The sequence below is a fragment of the Homo sapiens genome, chromosome 17, assembly GCF_000001405.40.
Source record: "Homo sapiens chromosome 17, GRCh38.p14 Primary Assembly".
Lineage (NCBI taxonomy): Eukaryota > Metazoa > Chordata > Mammalia > Primates > Hominidae > Homo > Homo sapiens.
This window is the reverse complement of record NC_000017.11, coordinates 3,721,628-3,745,458: the sequence shown is the minus strand read 5'-3', so window position 1 is coordinate 3,745,458 and position 23,831 is coordinate 3,721,628. Positions and strand designations below refer to the sequence as shown.

Below are 23,831 nucleotides of genomic sequence, written 5' to 3'. Positions count from 1 at the left end.
GAGGCAGGAGAATCGCTGGAATCCAGGGGAGGGAGGTTGCAGTGAGCCGAAATCATGCCACTGTACTCCAGCCTGGCCAACAAGAGCAAGACTCCATCTCAAAATAATAATAATAATAAATCAAGAACCACGTAATGGCACGGAAGATGGAGATGCTGTCATTGCTGACGTTTTTCTTGGTAATAACTCAGGAATGCCAGTGTTCTTGGCATGCGTTATCAGACCTCACCTGATAATAACTAGGACCGAGGGCCTGAATGTCAGTTGGCATCAAAAAAGTGAACAACTAAAAGGAAGAATAAAAAGATAGAAACGACCATCTAGAAAGGTTTACTCCTGGCAAAGGTGCCCAGAGACATGGGGTAAAAAAAGTATGTCGGGACTCAAACCCTGACAGGATCTCGAACTTTGGATCTATATGGATCGTTTATTCCAATAAACAAATGCATGAATTCTTCTTCTGAATACACATTTACCCCCAAAGTGATTGTTAATTGGATTAAAGTCTACAGCCTTCCTTAAATAAAGGCTTAATCACATTCTCTACCAGAGAATCATGCTCACTTTCTCCCATGGGCTTGAGGCTCTTATAGGGGCAGAAAGGCTTATTTAAACAAAGAGAGTGGCAAATGGTATGCTAAGCAATCTCCTTATCTTCTCTCTTACCTCTCTAATATGTCCTCCATGTTGCTTTGAGAAAGATCTTGGTTGGTTGGGCGCAGTGGCTCACGCCTCTAATCCCAGCACTTTGGGAGGCCGAGGTGGGAGGATCACCTGAAGTCAGGAGTTCGAGACCGGCCTGACCAATGTGGTAAAACCCTGTCTCTACTAAAAAAAAATACAAAAATTAGCCAGGCGTGGTGGCATGCACCTGTAGTCCCAGCTACTTGGGAGACTGAGGCAGGAGAACCTTGAACCTAAGAGGCAGAGGTTGCAGAGAGCCAAGATCGAGCCACTGCACTCCAGCCTGGGCGACAGAGCGAGACTCCATCTCAAAAAAAAAAAAAAAAAAGAGAAAGAACTTGATAAACCCAGGTGTGGCTGTGACTCTTCCCTTCTGTCTGAGCCAGTTCTTTACCCCTTTGTGACTGGGATAAGAACCATAGCAGCTATAGACACAAAACCGTAGTAGAATGAAGGAGATTTTTCCCAAAGCACTTGGCAGCTTGCTTGAAGGACGTGTCCCTTCAGCCTGGCTTATTTGGAAGATGCTTAGGACTTCTGACTCACCACTTTTATTGTTTATTTCTTCTTATGATGACATCAAAGTAGAAAGTATTCTTGCAAGGTGCGGTGGCTCATATTTGGAAATCCCAGCACTTTGGGAGGCCAAGGTGGGTGAATTGCTTGAGCCCAGGTGGTTGAGGCTGCAGTGAGCCATCATGGTGCTGCTGCCCTCCAGACTGGGTGACAGAGTGAGTGAGACCTTATCTTAAAAAAAAAAAAAAAGAAAAGAGGCCGGGCGCGGTGGCTTACGCCTATAATCCCAGCATTTTGGGAGGCTGAGGCGGGTGGATCACTTGAGGTCAGGAGTTCGAGACCAGCCTGACCAACATGGCGAAACCCTGTCTCTACTAAAAATACAAAAATTAGCCAGGCGTGGTAGCACACACCTGTCATCCCAGCTACTCGGGCGGCTGAGGTAGGAGAATCGCTTGAACCCGGGAGGCGGAGGTTGCAGTGAGCCGAGATCACGCCACTGCACTCCAGCCTGGGCAACAGAGCAAGACTCCATCTCAAAAAAAAAAAAAAAGAAAAAAAGAAAAAGAAAAAAAGCATTATTGTTGTCATCTTCTCCCCCACATCCAACTCTAACCCTGCCTTCCGTGGTGACCCCACAGCTCTGTGAGGAGGACTGCTTCTCCAATGCCAGTGTCAAAGTCAGCTACCAGCTCCAGACCCCTGAGGGACAGACGGACCATCCCCAGCCCATCCTGGACCGCTACACTGAGCCCTTTGCCATCTTCCAGGTGACTCTACCCACAGCCAGTACCCAGCCCTCTTAAGAGCCTATCCCACAGAAACCACCTGCTCCCCTAACTTCCAAGAATGGTGGAGTTGGGAGGCAATGTCTTCAGACGGCATTTGGGCCCCTCACCGTACTCATGGTGAAACTGAGTCCCTGAGATGGTGTTAATGTGTCCCCGTGAGTGAGGACTCATGGGTAACGCAGGTCTCCATCTGCCCCTGGGGCTTGTTCCTTTATGTCTTTATGTTCACAAAAGCACTTGCTACATCTTTCATGAGGCACATGCATACATTGCATCCTGGGGACCTCACTTGGCAAGCGGCTCTGATGACGCTGTGATGGGGGTTCCTTGTGGGAGCTAGACTGGAGCTGTCGTGTCTTGCACTGCAGAGAGGATGCCCTTTGGCACACCTGCCTGTTCATGCCCTGCCAGGGCCTTCAGGCTGAATGGCCCCACCAAACCTGTATCCTAGCCTCTCCTCCTGGTGCCCATCAGTGCAGCTTAGACAGGCGGGTAGTGTCATAAGAAACTTTTGTCAGCCGGGCGCCCTGGCTGATGCCTGTAATCCCAACACTTTGGGAGGTTGAGGCAGGTGGATCACCTGAGGTCAGGAGTTCGATACCAGCCTGGCCAAGATGGTGAAACCCTGTCTCTACTAAAAATACAAAAATTGGCCGGGTGTGGTGGCATGGGCCTGTAGTCCCAGCTACTAGGGAGGCTGAGGCAGGAGAATCATTTGAATCCTTTGCCCAGGAGGCAGAGGTTCCAGTGAGCCAAGGCCGTGCCATTGCACTCCAGCCTAGGCAACAGAGCGAGACTCCATCTCAAAAAAATAAAAAATAAAATAAATTTTAAAAAATACAAAGATTAGCCCAGTGTGGTGGTGCATGCCTGTAGTTCCAGCTACTCAGGAGGCTGAGGCAGGAGAATTGCTTGACCCCGGGAGACAGTGGTTGCAGTGAACCGAGATCGTGCCACTGCACTCCAGCCTGAGTGACAGAGAAAGACTCCGTCTCAAAAAAAAAAAAAAAACCACAAACCTTCAATATATATTTCCTAAAAACAAAGGCATTGTCTTAACATAGTACAATAATCAAAATCAGGAAATTCACATTGATAAAATACTATTATCTAATTTACAAACTTTATTCAAATTTTGCCAGTTGTCCTATTAATGTCCTTTATAGCAAAAGAAAAAAAAGGTTCTGGTCCAGGATCATTCATAGCGTTCTACAGTTATTTATCTTTAGTCTCCTTTAATCTGGAAGGGTTTCTCACTCAGTCTTCCCTTGTCTTTTAATGACATTAACATTTTTGAAGGGTACAGGCCAGTCCTTTTGTAGAATGTTCCTCAATTTGTCTGATATTTCTTCATAATTAGATTCAGGTTATACATTTTTGTTTTGTTTTTGAGACAGAGTTTCGCCCTTGTTGCCCAGGCTGGAGTGCAATGGCGTGATCTCGGCTCACTGCAACCTCTGCCTCCCAAGTTCAAGCAATTCTCCTGCCTCAGCCTCCCGAGTAGCTGGGATTACAGGCATGTATCACCATGCTCGGCTAATTTTTGTACTTTTAGTAGAGACGGGGTTTCACTATGTTGGCCAGGCTGGTCTTGAACACCTGACCTCAGGTGATCTACCCTCCTCGGCCTCCCAAAGTGCTGGGATTACAGACGTGAGCCACCATGCCTGGCCAGGTTATGCATTTTTGTCAGGAATATCACAGAAGTAAAGTGTGTCCTTCTCAGTACACCATCTCAGGAGGCACCTAATGTGGACTTGTCCATTCCTAGTGCTGTTTGCCTGTGTCATTAATAAGCACGTCTCATTTTATGGTGAGATGCCTTGCGATTGTATCCTGCTTAACATCTCTTTATGTGTCTTTCCTTAACCAGTGATGACTATTATGCTATGGCAAAGAGATTTTTAAAAAGTTATTCCCCGTATAAAATGGGTGAGGAAAAAACCACGTGGTATTAGGCACATCGGTGTTACCAGAGAGTGCGTTCTGGCTGGGAGTTTAGATGGCTTAACCCCATTCTCTTTCACTGGGGCTGGGTGGAAGAGATCAGGCTATGTGGCTATATTAAAAATACAACAAAAGGCCGGGCGCGGGGGCTCACGCCTGTAATCCCAGCACTTTGGGAGGCCGAGGCTGGCGGATCATGAGGTCAGGAGATCGAGACCATCCTGGCTAACACAGTGAAACCCCGTCTCTACTAAAAATACAAAAAAAAAAAAAAAATTAGCTGGGCGTGGTGGCGGGCAGCTGTAGTCCCAGCTACTCGGGAGTCTGAGGCAGGAGAATGGCGTGAACCCGGGAGGCGGAGCTTGCAGTGAGCGGAGATTGCGCCACTGCACTCCAGCCTGGGCGACAGAGCGAGACTCCGTCTCAAAAAAAAAAAAAAAAAAAAAAAAATACAACAAAAAACCCTGCATGAAACTGTTGACCCACTTAGAGAGAGCGCCACGCTTTGACTTCTGCAAATGGCATCCCCCTTCCGCAGGAAGTAGAAAGTTCCCTTTCAAGCCCTGGGCTGTCATTCCCCCTCTAGGCCGTGGGAACAGACCTGCAGACAGCTGCCGAGGTGGCCACCGGGAGAGAAGTGCGAAGTGCAGAGGCTCTCCAGCCGAGGAGCTGGCTGCCTTCCTTCATAATACAAAAACAGACCCAGCTACTTTAGAACACTGGAATTTTTAAAAACACGAACTGGAGCTTTTCAACCTCCATGGGGCCTTTTGAAATGTGGCTTTCAGAATTAGTCGATTATGTGTAGGCAAGGGAAATAGTTAGCTTACAGAGACGACTAGCCAGGCCGGGCGCGGTGGCTCACACCTGTAATCCCAACACTTTGGAAGGCCAAGGTGGGTGGATGACCTGAGGTCAGGAGTTTGAGACCAACCTGGTCAACATGGCGAAACCCTTTCTCTAATAAAAATACAAAGTTAGCCAGGCGTGGTGGCACATGCCTGTAATCCCAGCTACTTGGGAGGCTGAGGCAGGAGAATCGCTTGAATCCGGGAGGCAGAGATGGCAGTGAGCCGAGATCGCGCCATTGCACTCCAGCCTGGATGACAGAGCGAGACTCCATCTGAAAACAAACAAACAAACAACCGAAAAAACAGATGACTAGCCATGAGGAAGGAACCTCCAAGGCCTGGACCTTGACGATATTTGGCTAGGCATCCCCCACTCCTGCCCGGGCTGTTCTGCCTATATCCGAAAGGACTAAGGAAGCTTCTCTTCGCGTAGGTGTCTGCTCCCTGAATGCTCAAAGTCGTGAGCTGTGTGTTGCTGCTGAATTCGCATGATGTAAATGTCATGGGCACCCCTAACATTCCGTGAAGGTCACCCCAGTTTTTACCTTGGTCAAAGGACTGGGTCACAGTGTGCCCATGTTATAGGACAGATCCAGGAATGTCACCCAGGAATGTCACAGTCCCTGCTCTTCGGGGACAATCCCAGCCTGCACCCCTCACCTCCCTGTAACTGCACTTCTCAGGGTGAGCAGGAGGCACAGCCCAAAACTTCCTATAAGGAGAAGAGCCGGAGGCAGGGCTGCTGGGGAAGGCGGAGCCTGGGCTGATCGGGACTCTCTGTCTGGTTACAGCTGCCCTATGAGAAGGCCTGCAAGAATAAGCTGTTTTGTGTCGCAGAATTACAGTTGGCCACCACCGTCTCTCAGTGAGTTGGACATAGCCGTCAGTTTCCTCGATTAACCTTCTCCCGAACGCTTGCCTGGGCAATTCCTTCATTAGGACACCCTGCACATCCCCTTCCCCTCTCCCCGTGGCCCACAAATGGCTTCTGCACTTATTATCTCAATATGTCCTCAGCTACCCCAGAAGGGAGGCAAGACAGAGATCTGTCTTCCCACTTTCTAGATTAGGAAGCAGACTCAGTCGCCGAGGGCCCTGCATAGGCCATTTGGTGGACTTGAACCTGGGTCTCTTGACATCCCGGACAATGCTATATTCAGAACCCAGCGTTCTTCACAGCCAGGCTGACCTCTACCTCAGTTAGAGGTAACCTCTTTCCCGGCCCACCTCTTGGCCAAATTAACTAATCAATCAAATATTTCTGGACCATCTACTTTGTGCCAAGCACTCTAGGTGCTGGGGATACTTCTGTGAACAACACAGACAAAAATCCCTGCCCTCCTGGTGCTCTTAGGGGGAGAAGATGGTAAGTAGGTAAATTCCATGTTGATGAGATGAACGTTGAAGACACAGGGAAGGTGGGAAGGAGTGTTGGGTGGCAGCTGATGCTGAAGTTTTCAATGGGGTGGTCACGGAGGGTGACACTTTGGCACACACTGGAGGAGGTAGGGGAACGAGCTATGTGGTTGGGTGTCTAAGGGAAGAGCAGCTGCAGGTACCCTGGGTTGGAAGCCTGCCTGGTGGGTGGGGGGCAGGGTGAGGAGCTAGTGGCTGCAGTGGAGTGGGGCGGGGTGTAATGAGGGAAGGGGAGGAAGGGGGAAGAGGCCATGGGGCTTCTTAAGCCCTCAGAAGGGCTTTTGCTGTGAGCTGGGAAGTCAGAGGAGTGACACACTCATGCAGCTTAGCAGGATCCTTCTTGCTGCTTAGCTGAGAAGAGAAGCGGCACTTGCTCCCTTTGTAACCACTCAGGTGAGAGGCGGTGTGGGCTGGGCCATGACGGGAGTAACAGTTTAAAGTGACAGCTCATACGTAGCACGTGCTGACAGAATGGAGGCGGAGGGAGGAAAGAGGGCCACAGCCCCAGCATGCGGCACTGCACTGTCCAACACACCAGCCACGCTTAGCTGTTTACATGTACATGAGTTAAAATTAATCACAATGAAACATTTTGTTCCTCAGTCACATTAGCCACACTTCAAAGACTCAGTGGCCGCCTGTGGCTGGTGGTGTTGGGCAGCGCAGATACCGCCTGTCTCCATCGCTGCAGACGTTCTATTGGACCACACTGAATTCCAGAATGACAGTGTTGCCAAGCACATGAGTGTGGGTTTAGACATGTAGTGGTCTTAGAATGCCCCCCAGGCCGGGCGCGGTGGCTCATGCCTGTAATCCCAGCACTTTGGGAGGCAGAGGTAGGCGGATCATGAGGTCAGGAGTTTGAGACAAGCCTGGTCAACATGGTAAAACCCCGTCTCTACTAAAAATACAAAAATTAGCTGGGCATGGTGGTGGGCGCCTGTAATCACAGCTACTGGGCAGGCTGAGGCAGGAGAATCGCTCAAACTCGGGAGGCGGAGGGTGCAGTGAGCCGAGATCGCTCCACTGCACTCCAGCCTGGGTGACAGAGCAAGACTCCAAAAACGGGGAGGGGGGGAGGGTAACAAAACAAAACAAACAAGCGTCCTTGGCGACTAGTGTTGTGTATGTATTGTGATTCTGTTGGCCAGCTGGCTGGAGTTGCCGTATATGGGGAAGAACGCAGTTCCCCAAGTCCTGGTCAGCCCTTTCATAGACATTTGCAGGACCAATTGAAGACTTTCAAATGCTCTGGAATCCAGGCTAACAAGCAGGCACAGCTGTTTCCAGCAGGGAATTAATTACAGCCAAGAACCAACCTCCCAGCCAGCTACTGGGGGTAGTAGAGATACAGCACGCATGGCTTGCCCTACATCGCCCCCTAGTGTACATAGCAAGCAAACGCTTCTCTTTCAAAAACGCTAGTGAGCCTGGTCGTCGGTGTCCAGCTGTCTCAGTGGTTTTTGACCTGAGGACATAGATCCCCAAAAGAATCTAATGAAGACTACAGACCCCTCTCCTTAGAAGATCACATGTGCATACATAAATTTTGGCATTCCGGGCCCTCTGAGACGGTCCCTAGGCCTCAGATTAGGCAACGCTGTTAATATTCTGATGACACTGAGGTCTCACGCCTGAGCTCTAAGATGTGTGTCCAGCTGACATGTCAGCATCTCTGCTTTGTTATCCTATATGCACCTCTTGTCATGTCCCCGATTGAACGCATCTTCTTCCACCCTTGGGTCTTCCTCCCATGTTACCTCCCTCAGTCAATGGCACCACTCAGCCACCGGCACCACTCAGCCACCGGCACCACTCAGCCACCTGAGCTAGAAACTCAGAACTTGCCCTTAACTCCTCTGTCCCCCCTCCCCTGCCTCTTTTTCGTTTCATTTGCTTTACTGTCTCTGACTTCTTTCCTTCTCCACTACTGTTGTCTTTTTTCTTCTTCTTCTTCTTTTGAGACAGGGTCTCACTCTGTCACCCAGGCAGGAGTGCAGTGGCGCGATCTTGGCTCACTGCAACCTCCGCCTCCCGGCTTCAAGTGCTTCTCCTGCCTCAGCCTCCTGTGTAGCTGGGATCACAGGCGCACGTGACCACACTCAGCTAATTTTTGTATTTTTAGTAGAGACGGGGTTTTACCATGTTGGCCAGGCTGGTCTTGAACTCTTGGCCTCAAGTGATCCACCTGCCTCACCTCCCAAAGTGCTGGGATTACAGGCGTGAGCCACCGTGTCCAGGCATCCACTACTGTTTCCTTATTTCAGGCATGTATCATCTCTCGGGTGGAGACAGCAGGCTCTGTCTCTGCTTCCTGTCTCTCCCTCCAGTCAATCCAGCCTCTTCTCAGCTGGGATAAAAACCAAACCAAAACCAAACAATGGGAACAAAACACACCTCACATTACTTCCTAGGCCGGGCGTGGTGGCTCACGCCTGTAATCCCAGCACTTTGGGAGGCCATACTTCCTAGATCTGCACATCTCATCTTTGGACATTTCAGATGGAAAACAGTTTTCTCGGTATTGCTAATATGTTTTTCTGTCAATCTCAGCTACTGAGAGTGGTTCTGCACTCTGGGTCCCTGTGATACCTCAGCATTCTGGAGGACCCTTTCACACATCCCCAGGACCCTCTTTTCCAGGACATGTGGACCCATGTCTTAAACCACAGCCTTTTAATGGGAAGGGTCTGAATGATTTTGTGGGTAGGAAGCTGAGGCCAAGAAACGGGGTAGGACAGTATGTCTTATGCACACTGTTCTCCAGTGCACAGCAGTGCCCCATAAATATTGTGGCATGGATGAATTTGTGTCATAGAGTACCTCACCTAGGGTCACAGTGAATTGGTGGTAGAAAGAGGATTTGGGTACAATTCTCTCAATTCTTTGGACTACTAGACTCCAGGCATTTAATTAGCCTTTTATTTATTTATTTATTTATTTTGAGACAGAGTTTCACTCTTGTTGCCCAGGCTGGAGTGCAATAGTGTGCTCATGGCTCACTGCAACCTCTGCCTCCCGGGCTCAAGCAATTCTCCTGCCTCAGCCTCCTGAATAGCTGGGATTACAAGTGCCTGCACCACACCTGGCTAATTTTTTTTTTCTTTTTTTGAGATGGAGTCTCATGCTGTCACCCAGGCTGGAGTATAGTGGCGTGATCTCAGCCCTCTGCAAACTCCCCCTACCGGGTTCAAGCAATTCTCTGTCTCAGCCTCCCGAGTAGCTGGGATTACAGGCACCTGCCACCACACCCGGCTACTTTTTGTATTTTTAGTAGAGACGGGGTTTCACCATCTTGGCCAGGCTGGTCTTGAACTCCTGACCTCAGGTGATCTACCCGCCTCGGCCTCCCAAAGTGTTGGGATGACAGGTAATTAGCCTGTCTTGGCTTCTGTTTCCTCTTCTATAAAATGGAGAGTAGCTGTACTATTTCACAGGGTTACTATGAGGGTTGAGCGTGTGAGACGCAGTCCTTGGCACATGGTAAGCACTAAATAAAGGGCAGCTATTATCGTCATCTCATGCAACAACTGAGATGGGCGTGGCAGTCCAGCTGTTTGCTTATGTTGAGAGGAAGAATGTCTAAGCTAAACGTATTCCTTAGGCAACTTATCTAAGAAGTTACTTAAGAAGGTGCTATTCTGGGCTGTGTGCGGTGGCTTACACCTGTAATCCCAGCACTGTGGGAGGCCAAGGCAGGTGGATCACTTGAGCCCAGGAGTTCAAGACCCGCCTCCACATGGCGAGACCCTGTCTCTACAAAAAATACAAAAATTAGCTGCACATTGGCCAGGCTGGGTGGCTCACGCCTGTAATCCCAGCACTTTGGGAGGCCGAGGCAGGCGGATCACCTGAGGTCAGGAGTTCGAGACCAGCCTGACCAACGTGGAGAAACCCCGTCCCTAATAAAAATACAAAATTAGCCAGGCATGGTGGCGCGTGCCTGTAATCCCAGCTACTCAGGAGGCTGAGACGGGAGAATTGCTTGAACCTGGGAGGTGGAGGTTGCAGTGAGCCGAGATCGTGCCATTGCACTCCAGCCTGGGCAACAAGAACGAAACTCCGTCTCAAAAAAATAAAAATAAGAAAAATATTAGCTGGGCATGGTGGTAAACACCTGTAGTCCCAGCTACTCGGGAGGCTGAGGTGGGAGGATCACTTGAACCCAGGAAGTGGAGGCTGCGGTGAGCCGTGATCATTGCACCACAGCACCACGCTCTAGCCTCGGTGAATGTCCTATTGTATTGCGTTGAGGTTTTTACAGATGAAATAAACTGTAACATTTTTATCTGTACCCTGTGCAGGCAGGAGTTGGTGGTGGGTCTCACAAAGGAGCTGACCCTGAACATTAACCTAACTAACTCCGGGGAAGATTCCTACATGACAAGCATGGCCTTGAATTACCCCAGAAACCTGCAGTTGAAGAGGATGCAAAAGGTGACTGTGACGGTGGCTGTGGAAACAGGTCCCTCACGCCCCTCCCTCGCTGCATGCCTGCTTTTCTGTGGTGGCCCCCTCACTGGCACCCCTGCCTCCAGCCTCCTCCTGGTCCAACCAACAGATGGTTAATAACTAGATAAATCCCCGCCAGTCCGGCTCCATGCCTCCCGAGGCACCATATTCTGCTGCAGTGCCACCCTCCCTATGTGCGGCCCTTTCTTCACCAGGGTTCTGAGAGAGAAGTGAGTCTAATGCCCTAAGACACTGAGAAAGTAAAAATTAGCTTAGACTGGGAAAGTGAAAATCTGCCCTGCCATTCCCAAGGCTGGATACAGACACAGATACTAGGAAACAGTCTGTTTCCCGAGGACACCCTGTGGCTGACAAGTATCACTGCACTGAGAAATTTTATTCTCTAAAATCACAGATCAGAAAACTTTGGGCCGGGAACGGTGGCTCACACCTGTAATCCCAGCACTTTGGGAGGCCGAGACGGGCGGATCACGAGGTCAGGAGATCGAGACCATCCTGGCTAACACGGTGAAACCCCGTCTCTACTAAAAATACAAAAAAAAATTAGCTGGGCGCGATGGCGGGTGCCTGTAGTCCCAGCTACTCGGGAGGCTGAGGCAGGAGAATGGCGTGAACCCGGGAGGCGGAGCTTGCAGTGAGCCGAGATTGCGCCACTGCACTCCAGCCTGGGCCACAGAGCAAGAGTCTGTCTCAAAAGAAAAAACAAGAAAGAAAACTTTGCTGTTTGAAGTAGTTACGTCGGTAATTATGAACCCCTATCCCTCTTGCCTGGAGAGTGTAAGTCATTTTGACCAAGAGAAGAGTCTGTTTCCACCTGAGGTAGAGAGCTTCAGATACAGTGTCTGTCAACTTTCTACTCCATATTAATGGTTTCCCAGGAAGCGGGCCCTGGGTCTGATTCACAGGCTGGCCTGCTGGTGACTGACTCCTTGACACTCAGCCCTGCTTTACCATCAAAACAGGACTTTATTTACATTTCATCTGAACTCCACCCTTCCCTGGAGTCCTTTAATAACCGCCTTTTCCATTGTTCAGTGATACACACAATAGTGTAGTTTTTGGATGGGTGCAGTGGCCCATGCCTGTAATCCCAGCACTTTGGGAGGCCGAGGCGGGCGGATCACCTGAGGTCAGGAGTTCGAGACCAGCCTGGCCAACATGGCAAAACCCCGTCTCTACTAAAAATACAAAAATTAGCCAGGTGTGGTGATGTACACCTGTAATCCCAGCTACTCGGGAGGCTGAGGCACGAGAATCACTTGAACCCGGAGGTGGAGATTGGAGTGAGCTGAGATTGCGCCACTGCACTCCAGCCTGGGCAACAGAGCAGGACTCTGTCTCAAAAACAAACAAACAAACAAACAAAACCAAAGTGTAGTTTTCCTCATTGCAGTGAGTCAATAAATTTGAATTTGTTGGACTGTAGATTTGTCCCCGGTCATCTTAGGCTATTTGGGCTAGGACAGTATCCATTATATGAATGAAGCAATCTCCTAGGCCGGGCACCGTGGCTCACGGCTGTAATCCCATCACTTTGGGAGGCTGAAGTGGGTGGATCACTTGAGGTCAGGAGTTCGAGACCAGCCTGGCTAACATGGTGAAACCCTGTTTCTATTAAAAATACAAAAAATTAGCCGGGCGTGGTGGTGGGCACCTATAATCCCAGCTACTTGGGAGACTGAGGCAGGAGAATTGCTTGAACCCGGGAGGTGGAGGTTGCAGTGAGCCGAGATCGCGCCACTTCACTGCAGCTTGGGCGAAAGAGTGAAACTCCATCTCAAAAAAATGAAAACAAAAGCAAAAAACAATCTCCTAGGCATCTAGAGGGGAACTAGGGATGGACCGTCCCTGGGAGAATTAAGAAAACTCACTGCAGTCATCACCTGCCCCTCGGGGGTCCAGGTGGGGAGCCCTGGTGGCTACGTGGCAGTGCTGGTGTGTGCCGGCCTTCCAGCCAGGCTGTGGGTTATATTTGCATCAGTCCATGGCCCAGCTCAAATGCCTCCTTCCCCAGGAAGACCTTACGAATTCCTCCGAGTTGGAATTCATATTTCTCCACTGCTGTTCTCTGCAGCTCCCTCACAGAAGCACCCCTTCGACCTTGTATTTAAATTCCTCGGGGATCTACTGCTGACCCTGCCTGTCCGGCTTGTGAGGAAGACAGGGACCAAGTGGACTTTATTTCTTTAGCTCCTGGCAGGGTGTCTGACAGGCAGAAAAATTAGTGAATGTTTGCTGAATTGCTGTGAGGAAACCACGTTTTTGTTTTGTTTTGTTTGGCTCTTTAAGAGAATGTCATCTGCTCTTTTAACAGCCTCCCTCTCCAAACATTCAGTGTGATGACCCTCAGCCGGTTGCTTCTGTCCTGATCATGAACTGCAGGATTGGTCACCCCGTCCTCAAGAGGTCATCTGTGAGTCGGTTTGGACTGATTCGCTCTTCTCACCACCCTGCAGTTGGCGTCTTCTGCATCTTGGTCTCATCTCAATCTCTCGGTTCCAGCTTTGCGCTTCGCTTGACTGCAGTGTGTCCCCAGCAGTGCTTACAGTGGCTAAGCTGGCTCTGAAAGTAGGGGGTGATGGGGACGAGAGCTTTCCAGTACACAGCCCTAGGTGAACTGCCTGCTCACCTCCGTGAAGCAGAGTGAAGTTGTGGGTAGTATGGAGGGCGTGTCAGACAAAAAGTTTTTTTGTTTGTTTGTTTTTGAGATGGAGTTTCATTCTGTCACCCAGGCTGGAGTGCAGTGGCACAGTCTCAGCTCACTGCAACCTCCGCCTCCCGGGTTCAAGTGATTCTCCTTCCTCAGCCTCCTGAGTAGCTGGGATTACAGGCGTGCAGCACTACACCCGGCTAATTTTTAAAATATTTTTGGTAGAGATGGGGTTTCACCATGTTGGCCAGGCTGGTCTCAAACTCCTGTCCTCAAGTGATCCACCTGCCTCGACCTCCCAAAGTGCTGGGATGACAGGCATGAGCCACCATGCCCGGCCAAGACGAAAAGTTATTAACCCTGATCTGTCCCTTGTCATCTCTGTGCTGTGGGAAATCTCTGAAGTGGCTTCTTCACCTGTAAAAGGGGAATGAGGCCGCCTGCCTTGCTTACTCCATATTTGTATTTGAGGCTTAACTGAAATAACGGGGCCAGGCGCGGTGGCTCATGCCTGTAATCCCAGCACTTTGGGAGACCGAGGTGGGTGGATCATTTGAGGTCAGGAGTTCGAGACCAGCCTGGCCAACATGGTGAAACCCCGTCTCTACTAAGAATACAAAAATTAGCTGGGCGTGGTGGTGCGTGCCTGTAATCCCAGCTACTTGGGAGGCTGAGGCAGGAGAATTGCTTGAACCTGGGAGGCAGAGGTTGCAGTGAGCTGAGATCACACCATTGCACTCCATCCTGGGTGACAGAGCGAGACTCCCTCTCAAAAAAAAAAAAAAAAAAAAAAAAGGAAGGGAAAGGAAACATGCTGTGTTAGAAAAATGTGAGGAATGTGAAAATCTGAGGAATCGTCTCCTAGGTCTGTTCCACGAGTAGCTAGCGGTCTGAATTGTGAGTGGCATAGAGAGAATCAACTGACCATTTTTCCCCCTTTAAAATAGGCTCATGTTTCAGTCGTTTGGCAGCTAGAGGAGAATGCCTTTCCAAACAGGACAGCAGACATCACTGTGACTGTCACCAAGTAAGTACTGCCTGGGTCACAGCAGAGTCAGGCTATGACCCCGGAAGACATCTCCCTGCCACATGCACGCTGTGAGAGGAACGGCCCCCTTACAGCCCAGGGAGAAAGGAAACCCCAGTGAGCCCACAGAAGGCATCTGTTTCCCTGCAGGGACTCGACTTTCTCTTCTTGTTACCAGAGATAATGAAAATGTTCTTTTGTTCACACACAAAGTAAAACTGTGGTACAGCCTGGTGGAATGAGCCCTGGAGTTCTGGTTCTCGTTCACTCAGCTTTGGAATAGCTTGGGATAGCTATGTTACCTGCAAGACCTCTGTGTTGGGGGGTAAGGTGGGGAACGCTGCTGGGAAGAGTTCTCAAAGGGAGGTGATTCTGCCCACCAGAGGCTGTGCCTGTTTTGATTGCCATGACTTGGGGAGGGGGGTGTTCAGTAGGACATCTGGTGGGTAGAGGCCAGGAATACTGCCAAACATCACGCAGAGCAGTACAGGACAGCCCCCACAACCAAGAACTAACTGGCCCAAAACGTCAATAGTGTGGAGGCTGAGAAGCCCTTTTAAAATCAGTATTCTTCTAAGTGTGGTCTTCTAGAGACAATTCTGAACTCCAATTGCTTATCTCTGAAAGCCTTTTATTTATTTATTTATTTTTTGAGACAGAGTCTCGCTCTGTCGCCCAGGCTGGAGTGCTGTGGCGTGATCTCGGCTCACTGCAACCTCTGCCTCCAGGTTCAAGCAGTTCTCTGCCTCAGCCTCCCGAGTAGCTGGGATTACAGGCGCCCGCCACCACGCCCAGCTAATTTTTGTAGTTTTAGTAGAGATGGGGTTTCACCATCTTGGCCAAGCTGGTCTTGAACTCCTGACCTCGTGATCCACCAGCCTTGGCCTCCCAAAGCACTGGGATTACAGGCATGAGCCACCGCGCCCAGCCTCTGAGAGCCTTTTCTTATCTGACTCCCAGTGACCCTGGGGAGCCAGGTGCAGAAGCACCTGTTCTGCAGTGAGAGCACATGGACACAGGGAGGGGAACAGCACACACTGGGGCCTGTGGGAGGGGCAGGGTTGGGGAGAGCTTCAGGAAGAATAGCTAATGCGTGTTGGGCTTAGTAACTAGGTGCTGGGTTGACAGCTGCAGCAAAGCACCATGGCACACGTTCACCTATGTAACAAACCTGCACATCTGCACATGTACCCTGGAACTTAAAAAAATAGCCAGGCGCAGTGGCTCACGCCTGTAATCCCAGCACTTTGGGAGGCCAAGGCAGGCAGATCACTTGAGGTCAGGAGTTCGAGACCAGCCTGGCCAACATGGTGAAACCCCATCTCTACTAAAAATACAAAAATTAACTGGGTATGGTGGCTCACGCCTGTAATTCCAGCTACTCAGGAGGCTGAGGCATGAGAATTGCTTGAACCCGGGGGGCGGAGGTTGCAGTGAGCTGAGACGGCAACACTGCACTCCTGCCTGGGCAACAGAGCGAAGCCCTTTTTAAGAAGCACTTGCTATGTACAAAGCAGGTGTGCTATGAACTAACACTCTTATTCCTAGTTCCAATGAAAGACGGTCTTTGGCCAACGAGACCCACACCCTTCAATTCAGGCATGGCTTCGTTGCAGTTCTGTCCAAGTGAGTACTCCCAAGAGGCCAGCAGCGGTGTGACTCCATCGCCCAGGGGGCAGCTTTGGGCTCTCTCTCGTAGATGGAGCTGGTGGTCAGGATGAATGTGGACACTGTCCTTCTGAGAGGAGCCTGCTTAGAACCCAGGCTCTGATATTGATCTCTAGGGTGCTAACATTTGGGTCACAGAAACCCCACTGTGGTCATCAAAGGAGGTGTATTGCCAACTAGTCGTGCTACAAAAGGGAATTAATATGACGCTGTGGAGGGAAGAAGGCAGCTGTGGGACTGGGAAGTAAGGAGGGGATGAGTAAGGCCATTTGAGGGATAATTAGAAAATGAACCAGCCCAACGATACAGAATTCAAATATTCCACCTCACCCCAACTGCGCTACGACCACTTTATATTTTGACATTCAGCTTTTATTCCTTTTTTTTTTTTTTTTAAACTGAGACGAAGTCTCACTCTGTCGCCCAGGCTGGAGTGCAGTGGTGCCATCTCGGCTCACTGCAACCTCTGCCGCCCAGGTTCAAGCGATTCTCCTGCCTCAGCCTCCCGAGTAGTTGAGACTACAGGTGGACACCACCAGGCCCAGCTAATTTTTAAAAAATTTTTAATAGAGACGGGGATTTCACCATGTTGGCCAGGCTGGTCTTGAACTCCTGGCCTCAGGTGATCCGCCTGCCTCGGCCTCCCAAAGTGCTGGGATGATAGGCATGAACCACTGCACCCGGCCTCATTCCTGGTAAAGGTCTGGTGCCCTCTGTCCTAATGTATTCAGTTGAAAGCAGTCGAGTTCATTCAAAAAGAGAAGGCCAGGTGCGGTGGCTCACGCCTGTCATCCCAGCACTTTGGGAGGCTGAGGTGGGTGGATCACCTGAGGTCAGGAGTTCAAGACCAGCCTGGCTAACATGGCGAAACCCCGTCTCTACTGAAAATATGAAAATTAGCCAGGTGTGGTGGCAGGCGCCTGTAATCTCAGCTACTTGGGGGCTTAGGCAGGAGAATCACTTAAACCCAGGAGGCAGAGGTTGCAGTGAGCTGAGATCGCACCACTGCACTCCAGCCTGGGCAACAGAGCAAGACTCCACCTCAAAAAAAAAAAAAAAAAAAAAAAGGGATGAGTGTAGTGGCTCATGCCTGTCATCCCAACACTTTCCCAGGCTGAGGTGGAGGATCACTTGAGCCTGGGAGGTTGAGGCTACACTGAGCCATGATTGTTCCACTGTGCTCTAGCCTGGGCAACAGAGTGAGACCCTGTCTCCAAAAAAGGGAGAAAGACTCCTCAAGGGCTGACGCATGTCCTGTCAATTGCAGACCATCCATAATGTACGTGAACACAGGCCAGGGGCTTTCTCACCACAAAGAATTCCTCTTCCATGTAAGTACTTATTATTGTAAAGCTGTAGATGGCAAAGCAATACCAGCTTTGATTTCCTACTCTGATTTTAATTTGCAGGTACATGGGGAGAACCTCTTTGGAGCAGAATACCAGTTGCAAATTTGCGTCCCAACCAAATTACGAGGTCTCCAGGTTGTAGCAGTGAAGAAGCTGACGAGGACTCAGGTATTTAAAGGCAGTTCTTTATCAGTCACACCTCTTTCCACAGTGACTACAGAGTCTCAAGTATAAAAACCAGAGTTCTAGAAACAGAGTGAAGACAAGTTAACCATGGGAAAAGATTAGGAGTAAATTCCCGAAGTCCTGTTCAGAAGGACTCTCAATCACTCAGCTCTTAAAGCAACCTGTCAGTTTTCCTCCCTTTGAGGAAAAATAAGCAAAAATTGGCCAGGTGCGGTGGCTCACACCTGTAATCCCAGCACTTTGGGAGGCCGAGGCGGGTGGATCACAAGGTCAGCAGATCGAGACCATCCTGGCTAACACGGTGAAACCCCGTCTCTACTAAAAATACAAAAAATTCTCCGGGCGTGGTGGCGGGCGCCTGTAGTCCCAGCTACTTGGGAGGCTGAGGCAGGAGAATGGTGTGAGCCCGGGAGGCGGAGCTTGCAGTGAGCCGAGATCCTGCCACTGCACTCCAGCCTGGGAGACAGAGTGAGACTCCATCTCAAAAAAAAAAAAAAGCAAAAATTAAAACCTTGTCAGTAGACAGAGACATTTTCCCTTTGAAAATTGATAAATTCTGCTTCTCTGTGTGAGCGATGTAACATGTGACATTTCTTACACTGCCCCCTATAAGTTGCTTACTAGCTTCCCTTCTTCTCCCCTGAGACTCTTTTTTGGTCTCTGCTTTGCCTCAGCCTCTTTGCTTTCAGTTGTCTCATCTGTAGTCTGGTTCCCAAAGCTAGCCTTGATACCTGAAGCAACAGGCTCTGCTCAGTATGAAGCTGAAGCCTGGGCATTTTTTTTTTGCTCAGACTACATAAGTGTTAAGGCTCAAAAAACGGAAAGGAATTTACAGAAAGGACTCTGCTGACAATTAGAAAGAGGGCTTATAGGTCAGGTGCCATGGCTCACTCCTGTAATCACCCAGCACTTTGGGATGCCGAGGTGGGTGGATCACAAGGTGAGGAGTTCGAGACCAGCCTGGCCAACATGGTGAAACCCCCATCTCTACTAAAAAAATACAAACAATTAGCCGGGCATGGTGGTGTATGCCTGCAATCCCAGCTACTCGGGAGGCTGAGGTAGGAGAATTGCTTGAACCCGGGAGGCGGAGGTTGCAGTGAGCTGAGATCGCACCACTGCACTCTAGCCTGGGTGACAGAGCAAGACTCTGTCTCAATAAAATTAAAAAAAAAAAAAAGAGGGTTTATAAATATAAACGTTTGTTTTCACATGTAGTTTATTTATTTAAAAAAATAGAGACAGGGGTCTTGCTATGTTGACCAGGCTAGATATGAACTCTTGGGCTCAAGCGATCCTCCTGCCTCAGCCTCCCGAGTAGCTGGGACTACAGGCGCACGCCACTGTGCCCGGCTAGTTTACTTCTTTCAGAACATTTGTTATCAGCAAATTTAAACATTTCAACAAATATTTCAGTTTCCATTTGGAAACAAAATTCTTGTTTGAAAAGCTGACTGGAAACCTGTGAGAATGGGAGTTCCACCCTCCTGTGGGGATGGAGGTTGAAACAGCACCAGAGGCTTCAAGACCAGTCTCCTCTCATTTCGGGGCAGTAAGATACATTTAGCTTACTTAAACAGACTGTGCTGGCAGAGCAAGTCAGTGGCAGAGCTGAAGTTCAGCATTGTCCTGTGGAACTCCTGGATTTTTCTCTTAATTTGCTTCATGGCAGGAGTGTTACATTTAGTCTTGAAGGTCATTTGTTTCAGCATCTTGTCTGTCAGGTAATGTAACCAGAGCACATTACTATAAGGGTGATATTCACCCCAGCGGTTGTTATTCTCCTTCTTCATGAGCCTGTAGATGTCAAACTGGTAGTCACCGTCACCGGTAAACAGGTCCTCATCCATGGAAACGTCACAGAAAACCACAATCCCATCCCGTTCCAAGCGCGACAGGGTGTAGTCAATGATGCTCACTTGCAACCCACAGCTGGGGATAGTGCTGCTCTTCCCATTGAGGGTGTAGTGGAGTTTTTTGAGGCTGGTTTTCTTTAAGAGCACGTTCCCCCAGTGTAAGTCTCGGTGCTCAAAGCGCAGTGATGCCTCTGCCACTGCGAGGGAGGCTGTGAGCTGGTGTAGAATGCTCTTTGCAGTAGCCAAGGAAGACAACTTGGTTCGCATTTGCTCTAAGTCAATCCCTCCAAACTCAAATTCCAGCACAATGAAGAGCTGGTCGTCTTTAAAAAAATCAGGCCGGTCATTTGCAGAGCCTTTGGTTGAATTATAGTGATCCCAGGCTTTGAGGAGCAAGGGAGGGTAAGATCCCTGGACACAGTGCACTGAGTTCAGCCCGATAAAGCCTTCTGTGCGGTTGCACACTTCACCGGATAAGAGGCTCAACTCTTTGGAGATGATGATCTCTGGCAGGATTTCCTCAAAGGTTTTCTGATGGGATCCATTGACTAAATCTGGTCCTTCAATAGCAATGATTTTTATGGCTACGGGTGTGTGATCAGCAATTGTTTGAAACACTTCGCCAAACACCCCTTCCCCAATCTTCTCACAGCGTTGCAGTTTTTCTGTGGGAAGGCAATGGCTAAAGGGGACAGGACCCTTCTGACTGCATTCCCCATAAACCTTTTCAGCATCAGATGCCTTTTTGTTTGAAATACTTAGAGTGTTTAAGGGGCTTAGCAAATACATAGAGGAGGAGTGCCAAGAGGACGGAGCACCACTTGTTCTGTTCATGACAGGCCGGTTTGAACATTCTGATAGGAGGGATCCAGAGAGAGAAGTGGCAGTGGTATAGATGCTGCAGACCTCTGACACATCAGTCACAATTTTCTTCTTGTGGAAACTGAAGGAAGCCCTGGTTTTGGTCCAAAAGCAGACATTCTGTAAAGGAGTCAGGTCCTGGGTGGGGAACGAATCTTTTCCCAGCTTTTGGCCCTTTTTAAAGCGGTGGGAATGGAGGAGAGAGGTTTCCGTTGCCTCCTGATGTTTGCTCTTCCGGCTTGATCTAGTTCTCTCCAGCCTGTCTATTCCCCTTGGCACAATGCGGCCCTTGGGAACACTGGCCTCCTGATGCTCTCTCCGGACGGCCTCTTGAAGCCCTCTCTCTTGACAAGAGTCCTGGCCTGTGGCCCTCCTCTTGCCTGTGCTTGACAGACCTGGACCCTCTGGTCCATTTCCCACCACCAGTTTCCTTTTACAGCAGGACTCTCTCATATTCTTCCCATCTGCCCGAAACTCAGAATCCTCAGGGGTTCCTGAGTTCATAAGGCCAAAGAGAACTGACCTGAGGCTGGCGCGGGTTTGGTGGACCATCCTGGTGTCCTTGGCTCCTCCTGTCGCTTCCTCCTGGGAGCAGGGGAGAGATGCTCGGTCCAGGGAGACTTCTGGGAGGTGGAGGCCGCTCGGGACGGCTGAGGCTGCAACCAGACAGGCGGAGGTGCCGATCGAGATGACACTGTCCCTTGGCGTTGGGGACCCGGGGCAGGGCGAGGCCAGAGAGCTGAACAGGGAGGCACTGATGCCCAGCTCGTCGCCGTCCCTGGGCTGGCCGCACACGCTGAGGTCCGGGCTGAGGCGGCCGGAGTCGCGGCTGGGGAAGGGCGGAAGTCGGAGCGGGCCGCAGGGTGTGCTGCACTTCTGCGGGGGCCGAGCTCGCAGCCCCAGGCGTCTTGGGGTCACGGTTAGGCTTGGGCGAGCTCGCAGCTTCCAGCGCTTTGGGGTCACGGTCAGGCTGGGCCGGTCCTTGGGCACTCGGCCGCCGGGACGCCTCCGCCGCCGCCTCACCGGGCTGCCGGGGAAGTCGGGGTCGTCGGGATCGTCAGGATCGTCGGACTGCGAGGGGTCGCCGATGCTGGCGTCGCTGCTGCCGCTGCTGTTGAAGAAACGCCTCCGGTCCTGCGGCGGGAACCACTGCGCGGCTTCCCGGCCCGGCCGCCGCTGTCTCCTGCCGTCCGCAGCCCCATATGTGCGGAAAAGCCGGCTCCCAGGTCCCGGGAGCGAAGCCGCCATGGCCGGCACCCGCCAAGAGGTTCAAACGCAAACATCGCGAGACTTCCGTGCGACGCGGACGCGCCCGCCTGCCGCGGGGTCCTAGCTCCCGGCCCTGCGCATGCGCACCTCGCCAGGGCCGGGGCCGGGACGGGACGGAAAACTGGCGGCTTGGTTTGTTCAGCGCGTCGCGGTCATGGCTCTCGTTTCAGGCCTCCACGGTGTGCACCTGGAGTCAGGAGCGCGCTTGTGCGTACAGTTCGGTTCAGGTAAGCGCGGCCGTCCCGAGAGGCCAGGGGAGGGCGGAGGGCCTGAAGCGGGTAACGAGAGGCCAGGAGACTGTTTTTCCTGGGTTACCCCTGCCGGCCAGTGCCGGGGGCTGCCAGGCCCTCCCTAGCTTCGTCCCTGGGTCTCAATTGCTCCCGCTGGAGCTTCGCTTGGGCCGAGGTGAGCGCTGAAATTGCTCACACCCTCTATTCTGGGACCTTACGATGCTCTGTGTCCGAAGTGTTAAAAAGATTTCAGACTTTCCGCACGGAAAGGAATTGTGTTCACTAGACCTCGCTTTTCCAGCATGTGGAAGAATGGCATTCAGTGAGCTGTGTCATCGCTTCAGATAAAGAAAATGTCACCGTGGCTGCAGAGATCTCCTGGGATCACTCTGAGGAGGTGTTTGAGACTGAAATGCTCCAGATTTGATTATCCAGTTGCTCACGGGCATCGCCCCTAGAAGAGATAATAGCATCTTTGCATAACATGTCCATGTCCAAAATAGATCTTTTGGTGCAAAAAACCAACCCTCTGTCCCAACCCGTTCCTTAGCTACCCTCAGGAGGGAGATATACTCCAGTTACAGTACAAGGAACTCGAGGGATTACCTGTGACTCCTCTTTCCTACATCCCCACGTCTATTCCAGCAGCAAGCCCTGCCATTTCAGGGCCAAAATATATCCTAAACCCATTCACTTCTCTCCATTTCCACTGCCGTTGTAATTCAAGCTACCCTTTCTTGCCAGGGCTGTTGCAATAACCTTCGGCCTGCCTTTCTTGCCTCTGCTTTTCCCACATTCTTTACAAATAATTCCCACGTAACAGCTATCCGTCTTCTAAGAGCAGACATTAGATTGTGCCATTCCCCTGCTTATTAAAAATAACAAACAAACAAAACTGATGCTTGAGCACACTTAGACTAAAATCCATACTTTTTTCATGGCCAGAGCAAGGCAGTACTTGATCTGGTCTCTGCTTAATTCTTCAACTTCATCTCCTAGTACTCGCCTTTCTCTCCCACTGCCCCTTTTATAATCGGGTTATTCTGTCCTATTCTTCTAGCTCGCCAGTACAGCATTATTCTGGCCACAAGACTTTGTACTTGCTGTTCCTTTGCTTGACACTGCTCTTCCTCTAGGTCCTGACGTAGGTGGTTTCTTCTTAAATTTAGCTCAGGTGTTCTTTTCTTTTTTTTTTTTTTTTTTTTAGATGGAGTCTTGCTCTGTCACCCGGGCTGGAGTGCAGTGGCACGATCTCTACTCACTGCAACCTCCGCCTCCCGGGTTCAAGTGATTCTCCTGCCTCAGCCTCCCGAGTAGCTGGGATTACAGGCGCCGGCGACCACGCCCAGCTAATTTTTGTATTTTTAGTAGAGAGGGGGTTTCACCATGTTGGCCAGGCTGGTCTCGAACTCCTGACCTCAGGTGATCGCCCGCCTCAGCCTCCCAAAGTGCTGGGATTACAGGCGTGAGCCACCGCACCCGACCTAGGTGTTCTTTTCTTTTCTTTTCTTTCTTTCAAGACGGAGTTTCGCTCTTGTTGTGCAATGGCACGATCTCGGCTCACTGCAACCTCCGCCTCCCGGGTTCAAGCGATTCTCCTGCCTCAGCCTCCCAAGTAGCTGGGATTACAGGTATGCGCCACCATACCCGGCTAATTTTGTATTTTTAGTAGAGATGGGGTTTCTCCATGTTGGTGAGGCTGGTCTTGAACTCCTGACCTCAGGTGATCCGCCCTCCTTGGCCTCCCAAAGTGCTGGGATTACAGGCGTGAGCCACCACGCCCGGCTAATTTTGTATTTTTAGTAGAGATGGGGTTTCATCGTGTTGGTCAGGCTGGTCTTGAACTCCTGACCTCAGATGATCTACCCACCTCAGCCTCCCGAAGTGCTGGGATTACAGGCATGAGCCACCACACCCGGCCACACGTGTTATTTTCTTAGAGAGGCCTTCCCTGATCACTTATTCTAAAGTGGGAACTAGTGATCAAGTGATCAAGTTTAATGTTTTACAGTGATCCAGGTGACATTTGTGAGGTCTCAACTGAAGAAGTAGCAATG

The 23,831-nt window shown here is 50.5% G+C and overlaps 3 protein-coding genes across 13 annotated transcripts in view, besides 4 other annotated features; 2 read left to right on the top strand and 1 right to left on the bottom strand.

Moving 5' to 3' along the window:
- The window catches only part of ITGAE (integrin subunit alpha E), an 86,561-nt gene that overhangs the window by 55,730 nt on the left and 7,000 nt on the right, over nucleotides 1-23,831 (top strand). For 2 of the 8 annotated variants that reach the window (NR_189129.1, NR_189124.1), the window contains exon 1: nucleotides 21,624-21,771. Coding sequence is in view for 3 of the 8 variants with exons in the window: in NM_002208.5 (NP_002199.3) it covers nucleotides 1,842-1,970; nucleotides 5,581-5,654; nucleotides 10,510-10,642; nucleotides 12,993-13,091; nucleotides 14,276-14,355; nucleotides 15,904-15,981; nucleotides 17,291-17,354; nucleotides 17,433-17,540; nucleotides 21,715-21,771; nucleotides 22,076-22,171 (918 nt within the window). In the remaining 5 variants the exon portion in view is untranslated. Of the gene's footprint in view, nucleotides 1-1,841; nucleotides 1,971-5,580; nucleotides 5,655-10,509; nucleotides 10,643-12,992; nucleotides 13,092-14,275; nucleotides 14,356-15,903; nucleotides 15,982-17,290; nucleotides 17,355-17,432; nucleotides 17,541-21,623; nucleotides 21,772-22,075; nucleotides 22,172-23,294; nucleotides 23,406-23,831 lie in introns of those variants that run through there. The other 6 variants (NM_002208.5, NM_001425071.1, NM_001425072.1 and 3 more) reach the window with 6 other exon arrangements.
- Nucleotides 7,370-7,664: an enhancer, noted in NCBI's record as "tiled region #669; K562 Activating DNase unmatched - State 8:EnhW". NCBI's record gives its function as "activates a minimal TATA promoter and a strong SV40 promoter by Sharpr-MPRA in K562 cells {active_cell/tissue: K562}" and the evidence as "EXISTENCE:reporter gene assay evidence [ECO:0000049][PMID:27701403]".
- HASPIN (histone H3 associated protein kinase) lies at nucleotides 18,760-21,556 on the bottom strand. Its single transcript, NM_031965.2, has one exon. The coding sequence runs from the start codon at nucleotides 21,521-21,523 to the stop codon at nucleotides 19,127-19,129; it is 2,397 nt and encodes a 798-aa protein (NP_114171.2). The 5' UTR covers nucleotides 21,524-21,556; the 3' UTR covers nucleotides 18,760-19,126.
- Nucleotides 20,871-21,626: an enhancer, noted in NCBI's record as "H3K27ac hESC enhancer chr17:3627127-3627882 (GRCh37/hg19 assembly coordinates)". NCBI's record gives its function as "activates a minimal SCP1, AML or CMV promoter by ChIP-STARR-seq in naive and primed H9 embryonic stem cells {active_cell/tissue: H9 hESC(naive and primed)}" and the evidence as "EXISTENCE:reporter gene assay evidence [ECO:0000049][PMID:30033119]".
- Nucleotides 20,871-21,655: a biological region, named in NCBI's record as "H3K27ac hESC enhancer GRCh37_chr17:3627127-3627882".
- Nucleotides 21,496-21,655: a silencer, noted in NCBI's record as "silent region_8019". NCBI's record gives its function as "represses an Ori minimal core promoter by ATAC-STARR-seq in GM12878 lymphoblastoid cells {active_cell/tissue: GM12878}" and the evidence as "EXISTENCE:reporter gene assay evidence [ECO:0000049][PMID:35858748]".
- Nucleotides 21,624-23,831, top strand: part of P2RX5 (purinergic receptor P2X 5) — a 50,609-nt gene continuing 48,401 nt past the window's right edge. For all 4 annotated transcript variants that reach the window (NM_001425082.1, NM_001425084.1, NM_001425085.1 and 1 more), the window contains exon 1: nucleotides 21,624-21,771. The gene's annotated coding sequence lies outside the window, so the exon portion shown is untranslated. The remainder of the gene's footprint in view (nucleotides 21,772-23,831) is intronic.